The following is a 17,222-nucleotide window of genomic DNA, read 5'->3' on the forward strand; positions in this document are numbered from 1 at the left end:
AGATTCTGCTCCTTAGATGGACCTGTGCTGCCTCTTTCCTCTTGTGCCACTCTCCCAATCACTCAACCCTGCTCCAACTGTACTGGCTGCTATTCTTCTTGAACAAACCTTCCTGCATGACCTTGGGTAAGTGACTTACCCTGAGTCTCCTCATCCATAGAAGAGTGAACAATGGTACTTTAGAATCGTAAAGCACTTATATACAGAGCTCCCTATAGGAAGTGAACAGATTTGGATAGTAAGGGTTACTTGCATTTGCTGAAGGAGTGAAGAGTGAGGATACTGCCTGCATTTTCCATAATTTTTTCATTATACTTAAGCCATGTACAAATAGTGCACAGATGTTGTCAGTCAATTGTTTGGCTGTGCATTTGTTACAAAGTTCAGACTTCACAGCTGAAAGTGAGTCAGTTCTTTATCTGGGTATGTTTATCTTGGAACAAGGTTCAGAAATGGAAACTTGAAACACCACCCCTAAAATTAGTACTAACCATCACCCACTTTCCCTTACAGGCAGACCTGGATCTTCAGAAAGTTTTCTAAAAAGCTCCATTTATTTCAAATGTATATAAATTAGATAATTTTGAATTAGAACACTTTATAGAGAGGTTTTCATAAATGTCCCCGAATTTGTTGTTAGTACTTATTCCTTTTGGCCTGTCAGGTAGGGGTGACTTCTCTTATGCCAATTCATAAGTAATCCTTCCAGTTCACAAGGTTTAAACAGAAGTCAGAGCCCAGTTAATAAACCCAGACTCTGCCATTTGGCAGCTGAGTGGCCTCTCAGCTTCAGTTTCCTCATGTGTAAAATGAGGAAAGTAATGAATGCACATGGTGTTTTATAAGAGTTATAATAATGGTCAATTCTAAGCAAACTGACCACACAAGTAGGCTCCAACTCTTCTTTTTGGATGAGTAATACTTGATTCTCAAAGACAGTAATTTATTCCAAACACAAGATGAAATTTTCTCCAAAAAAAAAAAAAAAAGGTATAGAAGTTTGCTAATAGTTCACATAACACTAAGCTACAGAATTCAGACCACAGTAGAGTGATGTTTCATGGCTAGTAGTGAGAAAGACTGGATTTGCTTCCTAACATGAAATGTGGTGTATGAATATAAATGTATCCATACCTTGAATTAAGGAAGCACTTGTCCATTTCTTAGAAGTGATTCACTTATAAAGTATCACACTGATATGCCATTTAATAGTATATGAGTTTTTGAAATAATGGTTCAAGGTAAAAGTTACCAACCTTATTAAAATAAATATGATTTATATTTTATAATATGGCACATGAGTCAGAATTTATCTATTTAGAGATAACTTAAATACAACACAGAAGCTAAGCAGGTTCTTAAAATTACTGGTGTCTACAAACTGCCTGAATTTTTGTCTTTGCTAGTTAGTTTCACCCTGCACTGCTAGAAAGAAGCAACAACAGTCAGTATGTCATTCTTCAACATTTAATGGTGCCACAGGGTTAAATAATGGCCTTACTTTTTTGGCCTGAATTTTGCCAAAATTAGCTTCAAACTCTTTTTTTGATCCATTTAGATTTGCTAGATGTCCATCCTTTATTCTGTAGCCTGAGGAATTCAGTTTCCTTATCCTGTACTGTACTATCTGTGGTGTTAATTCAAGAACCATTGGCGTCTCTCTTATCTGAGCTATGGAAATTCCTTCTCTCAATAATCCTTGCATTCTCTCTTCTAAAACTGGAACAGAATAATATAAAAGGGCAGGACATTTCAAAACTAATTGCTTCAGGTCATGATCTGTGCATTTAAAAGCATTTTTAGAGAAGGAAATACTATTCTGTATACTTCTTGGGCAAAGTTGAAAAAGAAATCCTTTGAGTTTGGATAGAAGCTGGAGAATTTCAAAGCTGGTGAAACCTTGCTCCTGGAGAAATTCTAGTGTTTCCTTTATAGCTGTGGGAGAATTTAACAAAATAAATGGGTTTTGGCTTAACAATTTTAGTAGCCAAACTTTCATGTTGGCCTCAGAGCCACCTACATCTAGATAACTCTCTTGGAGAATTCTTACCATTTGCTTATTCTTCTCAACAGGATTATGAAAAACATTAGGTGCAGCTGTCAAAAGTCTGCTAATGACCACATTTTTTAGTCCCAACTCTTGAAAGAACTGAACATTCAGCTTCTGGTTCTCTTGGTCTTTAATAGTAAAGAAAGATTCTGGAAACTGCTCTATTAACTTGATTAACTCTTCCTCATTTTTGCAGACCAACTGCCAGAGTTTTCTCTGGGTGTTAACAGCGGTTGGACTACAGACAATTGCTTCCGGGCAGCGTTCCAAAATACTGGCTACAGCAGTCTCATCGGCACCTAGTTCTTGTAAAATATTCGCAATTTCTTCAACATAGGTTTCATCCTCTAAAAGTACCCATCCTTTTAATCTACGAATTTTCCTAATGTCAACTGAACATTTATAGAGCTTTTCCACTGTTCTTGTATTTTCTTTGCTCGACTGTTTATCAGTTGTATAGGTGAAGCATGCTAAGAAAGGTCTGTATTTTGGAGGTGATCGCATCTTTCTGAAAGAACACAGCCTGCAGGACTGGGATCTCAGCAGCAGCTTCCACAACATGGCTGCAATCTACTAGCTAGTTTCCACCGTCCTGGGACTTAAATGGACTCATTCTATCTGAAAAAAAGAAAATAAAGGTTTTTAGTATAAGGGTGTTGACTTTCAGAACACATACACTTACAAATTTGAGCTGTTGAAGTCTGGAAATAAAGTGGATTTAAATTAGACAAGAAAACTGCTCATGTGGAATATTTTTAAAAATCTTCCTAAATAAGGATTGCTTGAACCCAGAAGCCCGAGGTTGCAGTGAGCTGAGATTGTAGCATTGCACTCCAGACGGGGCAACAAGAGTGAAACTCTTAAAAAAAAAAAACCTCCTAAATAATTAATTGAATTGTAATACACTTCTCCACAACTTCGATATCTTATACTTTGTAAATACACTGTTGAGTTACTTCCATTTTACAGAAGAGCAGCAAGACCAAAGAGTTCAAAGGTTCACAGACCTCAAATGTTATTTTCATACAAATTCCCTTTTCCACAACTGTTTATCTTTTCTTTTAGGAGGCCTGTATTATGCACACACACACAAACATGGTTTTTTGAAATGTTTTACATTATTAAGTTGATGTTTACCTGAAGCAGATACTTAAAGGGGGAAGAGGGGAAGGGTCATCTCTAATTTTATACGTTAAATATTTTGCTGAATAACTATCACCCAAAATGGGCCAATTATTTTATTTTAAATGAGTTAATAAATGGATTTTTTTGTTTTTAGAATTATGTGAGCAAAACTCCCTTTTATAAATCCAGAATTAGAATAAGTTGTAATTCCAGCACTTTGGGAGGCTAAGGTGGGCGGATCACCTGAGGTCAGGAGTTCGAGACCAGCTTGGCCAACATGGTGAAACCCCATCTCTACTAAACATACAAAAATTAGCTGGGTGTGGTGGCACATGCCTGTAATCCCTAGCTGGGTAAAATGAAAAAATGCCACATGACTGTTCCCGTGGTGCCATGGGAAATCAGGTCAGCTGTGGAATGGTGACTGTACTTTCAGAACAGTGTAATCAGCTATCCACTTGACATGTGTAGGTATCTTGAGATGGCTATACTGTGTCTGACACATTAACAGTCTTTGCCTCTATAGGGGCAGCAAAACACCTCCATCTTCTTAGGGTCGTGGCAGGACCCGAGAATTAGACATAAGATACATTAACAGGAGAAAAACATAAACTTTTTTTTTTAACTTTATTTATTTTGAGACAGAGTCTCTCTCTGTTGCCAGGCTGGAATGCAGTGGCGCGATCTTGGCTCACTGCAACCTCCACCTCCCAAGTTCAAGTGATTCTCCTGCCTCAGCCTCCCGAGTAGCTGGGACTACAGGTGTGTGCCACCATGCTCAGCTAATTTTTATATTTTTAGTAGAGACGAGGTTTCACCATGTTGGCCAGGATGGTCTCGATCTCTTGACCTCGTGATCTGCCCGTCTCGGCCTCCCAAAGTGCTGGGATTGTAGGTGTGGGCCCCCACCCCTGGCCATAAACTTTACTTAATACAAGTTCACATGGCATGGGAGCCCTCATAAGGAATCAAAGACCCAAAGAAGCAGTTAGAGTCAGTTATTTATGTACTGAGTTGGACAAAAAATAGGAAGCTGCGAAGAAGCAACCGAATTACATGGGGAGGTCTAAAAGATAAGTTATTTTAAAAAGGACTGTGCAGAAATCTTTTGGTATCAATTTCTCATCCTTGAGGTTAAGGATGTTATTCCTTTTGGTATAGGGAGGGTGTCTTTCACATGGGAATTTTATCTGCTTTTAAGAAACAGAAAGAAAGATCTTACACCTGCTATTTTTCAGGTGCCTTTAATTCAAAATGGTCAATATGTCAAAAGTGGTATAATGAACTCCTTCACCACTATTTCTTTTGTCTCTGGTAATGAAAATACATCTGGTTTTAGTACCTAAGAGTGTTGTAAGTGTCTCAGCCTTGCCACAAAAGTGTGTAGTACGGCTCAATTTAGCCTGTTGGCAGCCTTCCCTCACTCTTTACAGGTCTGAAAGAAAAGAAGAAAGCAGCCATTTCCATCCCTGACTTTAATTTAAACGCCCTTGCCAGGTATGCTGGGGACTCTTCACTTTCAGCCCTGTCTTAACTAATCCAAATAAATGATTATTCTGTTAGGAAAGTTAGGTAACACCCTTTCCATTTTGGTTTCCCATTTTGATTTAGCTCACTGTGAGCGCCTATGGAGACTAAAATAATTGTAGGCATAGCTTGTTTTACTCTTAGTGGTTCAACTAGAATTTTCTTCAGATAATTCCTAATACTGTTAAGCCAAGATGAAAATATTATTTTAAAAACTTTCTAAGAAGGCCATCAACTTGAACAGGAAGGAGGCGGCGCAGCATGATGAAGCACAGGCAGATCTGGGCTGGGATCCCGCTCCCCACTCCCTGTTGAGCGACCCCACAAGCTCAGGCTGCACCTCTGTACCACACGTGGGGGAGGAGCGTGGGCTGCTGCCAACCACCCACACCCAATCCTGGCTCTAGCTTATGGGGCACCCTTGGGTAAGTTAGCCTCAGAGAAAACAAGACAGCAGTGATTAGAACAGCGCCTCACACTAACTATTCAATGAGTATTACCAGCAGCAATCTGTGAGATGGAAAGAACAGAATCTAAGCCTTACAGGAAAACTGTAAGGGTTAAAATGCATGTCAAATACTTTGCACAATGCCTGGTACAGAGTAAAATTTCTGGAGCTAGAAGTCTTGTAGTAGTATGACTTTAAATTGTATTTTAGACAGAAATAGATTATTTACAAAGAGAACTGAAAACCAAAAAGTTTATGTATGTATGTATGTATGTATTTAAGAGACAGGTTCTCACTCTGTCACCCAGGCTGGACGGAGTACAGTGGTGTGATCTCGGCTCACTGCAACTTCTGCTTCCTGGGCTCAAGTGATTCTCCAGCCTCAGCCTCCTGAGTAGCTGGGACTACAGCCATGAGCCACCACACCTGGCTAATTTTTGTACTTTTTGTAGAGACAGGGTTTTGCCATGTTGCCCAGGCTGGTCTGGAACTCCTGAGCTCAAGCAGTCCACCCGCCTCGGCCTCCCAAAATGTTGGGATTACAGGTGTGAGCCACCACGCCTGGCCTAAAAAATGGATTTTAAATGCTTCTGTTTCCCAAAATAACTGCTTATAAAAGCAATGCACATTCAATGTGGAAAAATTGCCAACTTCTGGAAAGTATAAGGAAATGGAAAAAGTCTTTCACAATCCCCACCACTGAAGACAACTGTTCATATTTTGGCATACATGATGATGTGTGACCTGAACACATCACAGTTCAGCTTGGAGTAAGCAGGAAATGCAGACAGCTGCTGTTCCCTTAGCCTCACTGTGCAGGAGCCTCTGTCAGTGGATGTGCCTTGCCATGGTCGATGTCCTTCTAATGTTTAATGATCCGTCATTCTGTATAATGTAACCCCCAACCAAGCCAACTGCAGCATCTAGTGCTTAGCCTGGGGTTCCAAACCCCAGGAACTCCTGGCTGTGCTGGACTTGCTGAAAGATAGTGTATTACTGGTCTCCTGTGTGTTACCTTCCCTACACATGGTACTGAGGTTCTGAATTCAGCCTATAAAGTGAAAATTACAAAGACTCAGAATTTTTCTTGAAAATCTCTTATGCAGACACCACACAGATGAAGTAGTTGGTTATGAACTGTGATGTGTTCAGATGAGTCGTCTTTACTAGTTAATCTGCCTTGCTTAGTCTCTGATGAGCAAACACAACTGACTATGGAAGTGAAAAGTATGAATGTTGTGACTCCTATGTAATGAACACATAATACATATATTTGTATCTAATTTATCTTTCTGCTTCTATTTTATTCACAGTAAGTATCTAACTGTGGTATTAAAAATGCTCTGTAAACATTTGAGTGCTTGGTATATGGGATGGATATACTGTTATTTTGTAATTCATTCCTTATATTGAGCATTTAGGCTATTTGTAATTTTTGCTATATGCTGAATAAATGTCCACATCTCATATGCTTTTCCTTTAGGATGAATTCCTAGAAATAGATTTCCTGACTGAAGAGGAGATACGTGAACACTGGGAAAGCAAAGCTGCTAAATTTCCTGTCAGGAAAAACTATCTCAGTTGACATTCTCACAGGCAGTATGAGTGATTCTCTCATCAGTTTTTATTTTGATATGTAAAAAATGATACAACACTAATTTAACTTCTTTTTATTATTTATAAGGGTGATGTTTTCATAATTAAACTATTTCGTTCATCTTTATTTCCTTTTGTGAATCAACCATTCCTGACTTGTAAAACTGCAATCGTTCTGCTTTTTAAAAATTGACTTGTATAAACTCTATGAATTAAGAAATATAATCTCATTTTTGAAAATATTTTCTTCAGCTCATTTTCAGTTGTTGATGGTATATTTTAGCATACCAAAGTAGCCCCTTTTTTAATTGTAGTAAGATATAAATAACAAAAAATTTACCATTTAAACCATTTTCAAGTGTACCATTCAGTGGCTTAAAGTATAGTCACAATGTTGTACCACCATGACCACTATCCCAAACACCAACTCTGTCTCTGTGCCCATTAAACAATAACTCTCCATACCCTCTTCCCTCCAGACACCAGTTACCTCTATTTTACTTTCTGTCTCTATGAATTTGCCTATTCTAGGTACTTTTTATATGTGGGGTCATATAATATTTGTCTTTCGTGTCTGGCTTATTTCATTTAGCATAATGTTATCAAAGTTCATATTACAGTATCTGTTAGAACAAAGCAGTTAATTTCACGTGGTCAAAGGAAGGTCAGGGAAGTTTTCCTTGATGATCCTTACTGCTTTTAAGTACCAGATGATCAGTAAAAATTCATCCATTATTTCCTCCCATATTTTTGTTTGAACTTTAAAACTTAGCTCCTTAAGTTCATTTGAAATTTCTGGGTGTGAGCTGAGAATCTAAATAGATTTTATCAATAGTTTACTTCTCTCCAAGTACCATTTTCTGAACAATCCTTTCCTTCCCCATGACTTATGATGCCTCCTTTATCATATGTTAAATGTAGCTTTTGTCTCTAATTTGCCTCCATCCTCATCCCCCTACTTTGCAATTCCCCAAAGGGGCCAAGAGGCTCATTTCTGGTCTTTGCTGCATACTTGGCTCCCCCTGCCAGACCATCCTCAAACCAGCTCTGGTTGACTCACTCTTCCACACTTCCCACCAACTATCTCAAATCTTCTCAACTCAGACCTCTGGCCTCCCACCTACCTCCATACCCACCTTCACTCACAACCAGTGCCCTTGCCTCCTATCTGTACAAAGAAAGGAGAGCAGCTCCTCTCAGCAGACATAAACCTATCACTAGCTCCCCTTCACAGCTTTCATTATCCAGTCACAGCTTTCATTATCCAGGGTCATTCCTGCTCCTGTGCTGAGCTCAGCCTCTCTGGCCTGAGAACTCTCAAGCCCTTTCTCAAGTGTTTGCTCCTTCAGGTGTATCCTCCTCTGATGCTCCAGCCATCACTCCACTGCTCTTCCTGTCCTTGCCCAAACCCTCTCTCTCTCCACTGCTCTTCTTTTCCCTGCCCAAACCCTATCTTTCTCTTCACCTCAGCTAATTCTTGCAGATCCTTCTTTCTCTCCATTTCCTCTTCTACTTATATAGCTTGCGATAAAGATAACTTTCATGTGGTTACAGCCAATGAGTAGTTTTCATTCTTATCTCTTTTTTTTGTAGAGAAGGGGTTTCACCACATTTCCAGGCTGCTCTTGAACTCCTGAGCTCAAGCGATCTGCCCACCTTGGCATCCCAAAGTGTCGATTACAGGCGTGATGTGGTTTGGCTGTGTCCCCACCCAAATCTCATCTTGAATTGTAGCTCCCATAATTCCCTTGTGTTGTGGGAGGAACCCAGTGGGAGATAATTAAATCATAGGGGTGGTTTCCCCCATACTGTTCTCATGACAGTGAATAAGTCTCATGAGATCTGATGGTTTTATAAGGGGAAACCCCTTTCGCTTGGCTCTCACTCTTTTCTTGTCTGCCACGATGTGAGATGTGCCTTTCACCTTCCGCCATGATTGTGAGGTCTCCCCAACCACGTGGCACTGTAAGTCCATTAAACCTCTTGCTTTTGTAAATTGCCCAGTCTTGGCTATGTCTTTATCAGCAGCATGAAAAAGGACTAATACAAGCCATGAGCCACCACACCCAGCCTTCCTTATCTCTTTTGACTTCTGCAGCTTTTAGCAGAGTTGACCACTTTCTCCTTGAAATATTCTCTCATTTGACTTCCTGGACACTCGACTTTTTTTGATTCTTCTCCCTTTCTATACTTCTCGCCACCCTCTATCTGTCTCCCATACAAGCTCACCTTCAAGGCTTGGTTCTAGACCTCTCTTCTTCTTACCTTACAGTCTCTCCCCACAGATCTTGTCCTCATCCAGATATTCAGTTCATCCACTTGGGATTCTTTCCAACTTCTTCTCAAAATGTGATCTTGTCAGTTCCCTGCAATAAACTTGCCAATGGCATTTTAGGATAAAGACAAAGTAAAATAAAACATAGAAATGCCTTACCATGGCCTACAAGGCCTCTTTGGGCTCTGCCACCACCCTAATTCCCATTTCCCTCTCCTGCACCAGCTGCATTTGCTTCCTGTCAGTCCCTGGTGCTCTACTGGTTTCTACCATGTGGTCTTTGAAGACTGTGGGCCAGATTCCATGCCCAAAATGCTCCAACTTTTAGGCCTAAGTGTCACTTTCTCAAGGAAACTTTTCTAACCTTCACGAATACATGAAGCCTCCTGTCCCCATTACATGATTTCATGGCACCATGGACTTTTACACTTGCGCACAAGTGGTACAACAGCTGCAGCTGTTCACGTGTTGTTTCTGTCTCAACACTACATGGACAGACTGGTCACCACAGTGTTCCAATGAACTGCTTCCCTATCCTTCACCCAGCTGCCTTCACTGCCTCTAGGAGGCATTCCTGGGCAGGTGGCCTTCTGTGTGCTCTTCCACAGCACCCTGCTCCGGACGCTACTGCAGCACTTATTATGCTCTTACAAGTTCTTCATTCTTCCAACCAGTAGGAATTTTGTTGCTGTTTGTTTGAAGTTCAAGCTGTGTATCAGGCATACTAGGCACAGATCTGCTAAAACAACACTTCTTCACACCTCTGTTTGGATCACAGATCAACTCAGAACCTGAGAGTCACAGACTCTCTTTCCAGAAGAAAAGACCCACGCTCACAACATTTCGCAAATGATTTTAGCAGGATTCATGGACACCCTGCAGCCCGGCCATGAATGACCTGCACTAGATTTACAAGCGTTGGGAAGGCAGGAACTGAACGGTGTTCTGCTTTATTCCCTGCACCCAGCAAAGAACTTGTTCCACAGAGAGACAAAATTAGTATTTGTCAGGTGAAACTGAGTGAACAAGTGGATGCGGTACATTAATGCAGTGGGTAAAACTGGGTTAGCAGAGCCAGACTGCCTGATTCCTGGACAACAGTTGTGTTGTGACTTGAAGAAGTTACTTCACCTCTCTGAGCCTCAGTTTGGCATCAGGAAAATGGTGATACTATCTCCTGGGTGACTGCAAAGATCAAACGAGTTAATACCATAAATCACTTAGAATATGCAGAAAACTCTTCACATATACTAAATCATTAAATCATCACAACAACTCATTTTAAAATGAGGAAACAGACGCAGGTAAAGGAACTTGCCCAAGGTTACTCAGCTAAAAAAAAAAACAAAAAACAAAAAACCGGCAGAATTTGGACTCAAACCCCACAGGTTGGCTCCAGAGTCCTGCCTGCTCTTAGCCCTGTGCCCCCACATATAGCAATGCTTTTGGTAAATGTTTGTTAAATCACAATGTGGGCTGTTCTAGGATGCTTGTTTCTTAAGCATTTTTGGGGAGTGAAATTCACTTCTGTAATACACAGTTATGGTTAGTATGGTCTTCTCTACACCACCACTGGTTTCAATAAAGTTCTTCTTTCGTAACACATATGCCCTGCTGCCAGTTTCAAATTGACCAACGTTTATAAGCAAGGAAAAACGAGGGTCCACGGAAGATCTCCAGGACCGATCAAAAGGCCGCACATTCACTGTGGGGCCTCCGCTTTTCCAGAGAAACCCGGCAGGCTGAGCTGAGCGTCTGGCGAGGCGTGGGGTTTTGCGGGCCCTGACCGCTGCGGCGCCGCTGGTGAGGAACACGCCCAGGAGCAGAGGAAGGGGGCGACTCACCCGTCGGCGTCAGCTCCAAGCAAGGCACAGGGAGTCCCGGGGGCCAGGCCCCGTCCTTCCCTCTCTCTCCGGCCAGCCTCCCCACAGTCCGCAGTCCCCGAGGCCTGGAGCCGGGATTTCGGTCCTCGGTCTCAAGAAGCTCCCGACAGTTCTCAGCAGCGCCAACCAGGCCATCAGTCCCTTCGCCCATGGCCAATCAGGGCTCGGGAGATGACCGCCAACCCCCGCCCCCCCAAGACACGCCCCCGCGTCCCAACGCAGCCAGTCAGAGCGCGGGACACAACTACGCGTCCCTCCCCGCACCACGAGGGCGAGTCGGAGTGGGAATCGGCTTTCCAGGCAGCCCAGCCTGTGCTGGCGGGGGCATCTGGCATTTTCACACCCTTTCCTTCCCAGCATTTTAGGAAGCGGAGTTCCAGTAGCTTTGACGCTTAGAAAATATAAGAAAAAAAAGAAGTAACAGAAACCGCTATATCTTTAAGATAGAGCCAATCACTGTTCCCAAAATAATTCAGTTAGGTAAAGAACCAACTTACAAAAGAAATGTTTAAAAAACCCCCAAAGTTCTTTGAAACACATCTGAACTCTTCCCCGCCCCCACCCTACCCCAGCAGTTAGCGACTGTCTTTAAAAGCCATTCTCCTTTCTCTCCCTCCTTGCCACCTTCACCTAAATACTCCCCTTTTCTGATAAACTGCCAAGTGGTTTCCATTCTAATTATTACCGGTGATGCCCAACCTCATACACTAAACACGTTAATTTCTCCTTAAAGCCAGGCTGAATGTCTCTCTCATTTATTTTCACATTTATCCATCCAAAAAACAAGTATTTATGGCAGGCCTGCTAAGTGCCAAGCATATTGAAACAGCAATGAGAAAATAGAGGGGGAATAAAACACATTCCCTGTCCTTATGGAGCTTACATTCTAGTGGAGGGCAGAGATATCAACAACTAATAACGTGACTAATCACACCTAGTTAAGTGTTATCGAGGACAGGGTGCCCTGAGCTGGGCCTGGTGATTCTGTTTGTGTGGAGTTGGAGTCAGGAAAACTGGTTTTCCCAGCTGGAGGTGTCTGCTGTCAGGTGTTCGTAGCACACTGTGCACAGTTCTGCCGTCGGTGGCACTGGCATACAGACTGCCCTCGCACCCTGTGGAGTGAATTCCTTGAGGCTACTGATTATTTTTTCTGTCAACAATGCTGGGCACACAGTAGGAACTCAGGAAATGTTAACTAAATCTTTGAGTCTAGTCTCACTATGCAGTTTAGGCTCAACAGGCTATATTGAGAGGAGCTCACACGTGCATTTAACTCCACTGAGTAGCAGCAAGAATCCTGGCTCCTCAAGATCACCCACCTCTGATCTCTAGGATATTCTAGAATGATCTGAGCAACTCATGTGTACAGCTGGGGGGTGTTTGTCCAGCAACTCCTGAGTTATCCGAATATAAAAACTCTATTATGCATAGATTTATTGCACACTTTTTCCTGAAATAAAATGATTTGGGGTCCAGACTAACCAAAGTGTGTCATTTGCACTTAGGAAAAGGAAATTAGGATACAGAAAAGGAAGTTAAGGAATGTAAACTCAGGACTTAGAACTGCAAGCTGCCATCACTGGTCAGGAGGGAGGGAGCAGAAATGTGCACCAGGGTGCTGGAAGCTTGTATTAGGGCTCCACGTAATTGTGCAAGGAATTACAATACATATGACCCCGTGCATTGTAATCAAAACTTGAAACTGACAAATCAGCTATGCCAACTGTATTAAATAAATGCTACTCAAAGTTTTTTCCAGCCCAAATATTTAAACAGTGCATTTCTAGGACCATATAATCAGAAAAAAAACCTTGAATGAAGAAAAGGGGAAAAGAACTTACAATTATGCATATTATGTACAAGAAAATTACAAACACATTTGAATTGTGAGAAGATCCTGAAATTTCTAGTATGTAAGAGATGCATTAAAAATACTGATAGACTTTTATATCTCAAATTTACTTATTTATTTTAAGCAAATATGAAAAACATAAGGACTTTGTACAGTTCATTCAAAACCCTGGTTCTCTCAATATAATTTTCCCAAGTTGTCAGTACAGTTTTTGGCAATAAGAATTGAAGAAGTATTTGCTGAATGAGTAAAATGTCTTAAATCCCTTAACCACAAGTAGGATTTCTAGTTAAGGGGAGAACACTGATTCGAACATCATGTATCTGCTCAAGTAGAGCATGATGACTGATGCCTTTTCTTTCCCTTTCAGTGATTCATTTTGACCACTATTTACACCAAACTGAAAAAGCTTTCCAAAAAACTCCCTAATAAAAAAAAAATCCTCTTACATTTATAAATAGCATACCAGTGCTTATGCTGAGATAGTGTTCTTTTACTGTTTATTTATTCACATTAAAACTGAATCTTTGGCCGTGCGCGGTGGCTCATGCCTGTAATCCCAGCACTTTGGGAGGCCGAGGCCAGCGGATCATGAGGTCAGGAGATCGCGACCATTCTGGCTAACGGTGAAACCCTGTCTCTACTAAAAAATACAAAAAATTAGCCGGGCGTGATGGCACGCGCCTGTAGTCCCAACTACTCGGGAGGCTGAGGCAGGAGAATCGCTTGAACCCAGGAGGCAGATGCCGCAGTGAGCCGAGATCGTGCCACTGCACTCCAGCCTGGGCGACAGAGTGAGACTCTGTCTCAAAATAACAACAAGAAAACTGAAATCTATGACCTCTTGTACGGTGATGGTAAATCTCAGGTCTATGAATTTCTCAACTCTGCACTGTACAACCAGGTCCAAAGAGTAGGATGTGAGGTACACTTACCATAAAAAACAATTAAAATATTACTTCACTTTAACAGTGGTGAAAAAAGAACGATAAAGCACAGGATTTTTTCTTATTCTTTTTCTCGGTAATGGATTTCCCACCTGCCGCCCCATCCCCGAGACAAGGTCTCACCCTGTCATCCAGGTTGGAGTGCAGTGGTGCAATCATAGCTCACTGCAGCCTCAAATCCCCTAGATCAAGCCATCCTCCCACCTCAGCCTCCCAAGTAGCTGGGACCATAGTGCACACCACCACACCTGGCTAATATTTTTGTTGTTTCCTTTTGTAGAGATGGGGTCCCAAGATGTTGTTCAGGCTAATCATTTTTTTTTTTTTGAGACAGAGTCTCACTCTGTCGCCCAGGCTGGAGTGCAGTGATGTGATCTCGGCTCACTGCAAACTCCGCCTCCTGGGTTCATGCCTCAAGTGATTCTCCTGCTTCACTTCAGTTTCCCAAAGTGCTAGAATTATAGGCATGAGCCACCCTGCCTGGTCTTCTTTACTTTTTTTTTATTTTTATATTGATTTTTTAAAAATAGAGATGGGGTCTTGCTAAGTCTCCAGGGCTGGTCTCAAACTCCTGGCTTTAAGTGATCCTCCCGCCTCAACCCCACAAAGTGCTGGGATTACAGGCAATGAGCCACCACACCCAGCTCAGATGAGGTCTTGATCTGTCCACCCAGGCTGGAGTACAGTGGCACAATCATAGCTCACTGCAGCCTTGACCTCCTGGGCTTCAGTGATCCTCCCACCTCAGCCTCCAAAAGTGCTGGGATTATAGGCGTGAGCCACCACACCTAGCCTCAGTAATGGAATTTATTGATCATTGTTAATTCACTATCCAGGATATTTTTAAAAATGCATATCATCTAAAATGTTATCGTTTCTGTATTTTTACTCAACTTTTATCTTCAGTTATCTTTAAATTATCATACTAAATATCTATCATGATTAATGATGGGAAAATGAAAAGCCACTGGTTATAATTCAGAATGGCAAGAACTAACCTACTAGAGAACACTAAAGGGATAATAACAATACTAATAAAAATAATGGCAGCTAACCAGAGCTGTGGCATACAGCTATGCAGACTGTGCACTGTACACGACAGGGGGTGACACAGCATGGCAGCCCTGTGGCTAACACTGAGTACCCTATCACATGCCAGCTCATAAGTATTTTACATGGAACTGAACTATAAAGCAGATACTACCCTCATCCCTATTTTATAGATAAGAAGAAAGAAGACATAGAAGGTTAAACTTGCTCAAGACCTCAAAGCTAATGAATGGCAGAAATGGGCATTTGACTCGAGAGCTCACTCTATTGATTGCTAGCCCATACTGCCTGATTTATGGTTACAAATGCCATTACTTGAAAAAAGTCCCTTTAGTTTTACCTCTTTCTTGCATATAATTTTGAAAAACACTGTTTAACTAAACATATGGTAGCTGTTCCTTCAAAATGATGATGTGGTTTATAGAATCTCTTTGTAATTTGTAATCATATATCATACAGCAATACTCTCTCCCTTACCAAAAAAGAAAAAAAAACACGTACACAAGATTTCATATTTGCATATACTTTAATAACAAGTTCATTTTAGTAATAAATGAACAAAGAAACAGAGACAGAGAACTTAACACATGATACTTCCACAAGTTTGGGTCTAAAAAGGTTTACATCAAAGTTTAAAACATATACTGTCTGTGTTAACAGAGGCTACAATACCAATTTGGATTACGCACATTATCTAAAACATTATTATCAAAGAGTGCAAAGTTAGATCAAACAACATCAAGAAAATTCTGTCCTAAAATTTTAACGTCTTTTAAGAAAGTCTAAAAACCTCCTTTTTTCCCACTGACTTCAAAACTTTGAGTTTTATATCAGAATATCAATTTGTCATTTTAACTTTACCATACATGAAAAATTATCAAAAATATATCGATGGGTCTATACTAATTGTGACTGTTTATATTTACATTAAGCAAATTCTCTTGCCAAGTTCTTTATATACAAATTACCAATTGTCCTCTGTGAAATTCATTAAAAAGTTAAAAACCACAGAAATGTCATTAGAAACAACATATTTCAATATGTAACTGCTTTCCATCAATGAAGAATATTTTTAAATAACTTAATTGAAAAGTATTGAACTCCCCACCAATTTCAGCTGCAACAGTATTCCTCCTGAATGTTTTCTGTGATTTAAGGGGGAAAAAAAAACTAGGTAAAGCTTGATTGCAAATAATTCAATGACAAAAATGTGATGAGTGTTTATTGACCTTATCTTCAAGATACTTATAGTCTAATTAGGTTGACATAAAAAAACTAAGCAATAAAAAATGTAAACAGTGTTAGAAACTGAAGAAACAGAAAATTTTTAAAAACTGGCAAATCCAACGTATAAATATTTTTCATATTAATTTAAATCACAAAATGACATCCCAAATCCAATTAAATTGAATGCAGGCAAGGCTTTCTGATACTTCTAATAAGGGCCAGCATTTTAAAAAATTTTGAACTATTCCCAAATTGGAAATAATTTAGATTTTAGAAGCATCATAACAGATAAAAGAAATTTATCAACATTTAAGAGGCAAAGATTTAGGGGAAAGTTCATAAAAAGATTATATTAATGTCACTAAAATAAACAGGCCACTTTAATTGTTTTAGACTCATAGTTACATAGTAAGGAAATAAAAAAGTTGTCTTTTTCTAAGAAAAAACTTGACCACAAAATCATAAACATCTCTAATTTAAAGAGCATTGGTTCAGATGAATATAAAACTGGTGCAACAATTTCTCCAGTACAGATGCATGTCTCTTGACCAAAAATTAACTGAGTTTGTAAAAATTGCTTAAAAATTAATGCCTCAAGATTTTCTGGTTTGAAAATAGAGATTTGCTCCATTTTTGAAATTATCTTAATTTATGTTAATTATATACTCTTCTAAAGCAAGAAATACAGCTCTAAAATATTTACCTAATTAGTGCTCTGTCTCTGGACTTTAGGACCAATACTCTGTGTGTCCTCTTCCTGACTAGGACGTTTCCCACCACTGAGACCAGTGCCCATGGAGCTTCTTCCTGCACATTTAAAAAATGTATGTTTAAGATAGGAAAAGGAAAAAGAACAGTATGCTCCAATGCTTCATTCTTACCTTGCTTCAACAGGTGAGTTTGCTGACTGTCGCCATGAGCATAGTGTAAAATACCACTCCCTTGAGAGCAACCTGTTAGTATTTAAAACACAGTAAAATTACTTAAAATCAAATCCAAGATGTATGTATTATTAAGTCTACAAATCCAACTTTTAGCGCTTGTACTTAAGGTCATTTATATGCTTTTAAGACTAAATCTCAATCTTCCTATGAACCAAAAATCACATGCTCAAACCAGGAAAACTTAAATTTAGGCTCACAGAAGTGTTGACAGCTCAAAGGAAAAATCATTGATGATCATTTTCTAAAAAACATTTCCTTACTAGATGACAATTTGAAACTTGACCATGAAGGTAAAACA

General features: G+C 40.2%; 2 protein-coding genes across 23 annotated transcripts in view; both read right to left on the reverse strand.

Moving 5' to 3' along the window:
- Positions 1-1,173: 1,173 nt before the first annotated feature.
- Positions 1,174-11,043, reverse strand: MTERF2 (mitochondrial transcription termination factor 2). 6 transcript variants are annotated; one of them, XM_017019986.2, is made up of 4 exons: positions 10,866-11,043; positions 9,012-9,112; positions 4,518-4,610; positions 1,174-2,668 (listed from the first exon to the last, which is right to left on the reverse strand). In XM_017019986.2, exon 4 carries the CDS (start codon positions 2,609-2,611, stop codon positions 1,454-1,456), a length of 1,158 nt encoding a protein of 385 aa, XP_016875475.1. In that variant the 5' UTR covers positions 2,612-2,668; positions 4,518-4,610; positions 9,012-9,112; positions 10,866-11,043; the 3' UTR covers positions 1,174-1,453. The 6 variants fall into 6 exon arrangements, with proteins under 6 accessions (XP_016875475.1, XP_016875474.1, NP_079474.2 ...); XM_017019985.3 differs by having other exon boundaries at positions 9,012-9,122; NM_025198.5 differs by lacking the exon at positions 4,518-4,610.
- Positions 11,044-15,260: 4,217 nt separating this feature from the next.
- CRY1 (cryptochrome circadian regulator 1) overlaps positions 15,261-17,222 on the reverse strand; it is a 102,186-nt gene continuing 100,224 nt past the window's right edge. For 10 of the 17 annotated variants that reach the window (NR_182153.1, NR_182152.1, NM_001413468.1 and 7 more), the window contains 3 exons: positions 16,862-16,933; positions 16,684-16,787; positions 15,261-15,898 (listed from right to left, as the gene is read on the reverse strand). Coding sequence is in view for 15 of the 17 variants with exons in the window: in NM_001413468.1 (NP_001400397.1) it covers positions 16,684-16,787; positions 16,862-16,933 (176 nt within the window). In the remaining 2 variants the exon portion in view is untranslated. Of the gene's footprint in view, positions 16,788-16,861; positions 16,934-17,222 lie in introns of all 17 variants that reach the window. The other 7 variants (NM_001413470.1, NM_001413461.1, NM_001413465.1 and 4 more) reach the window with 5 other exon arrangements.

This window comes from Homo sapiens, chromosome 12 (assembly GCF_000001405.40).
Source record: "Homo sapiens chromosome 12, GRCh38.p14 Primary Assembly".
Lineage (NCBI taxonomy): Eukaryota > Metazoa > Chordata > Mammalia > Primates > Hominidae > Homo > Homo sapiens.

What these genes read in the sequence shown, in the direction of transcription:
- MTERF2 (XM_017019987.2), bottom strand. Translation starts at nt 2,611, where the DNA reads ATGTTGTGGAAGCTGCTGCTGAGATCCCAGTCCTGCAGGCTGTGTTCT.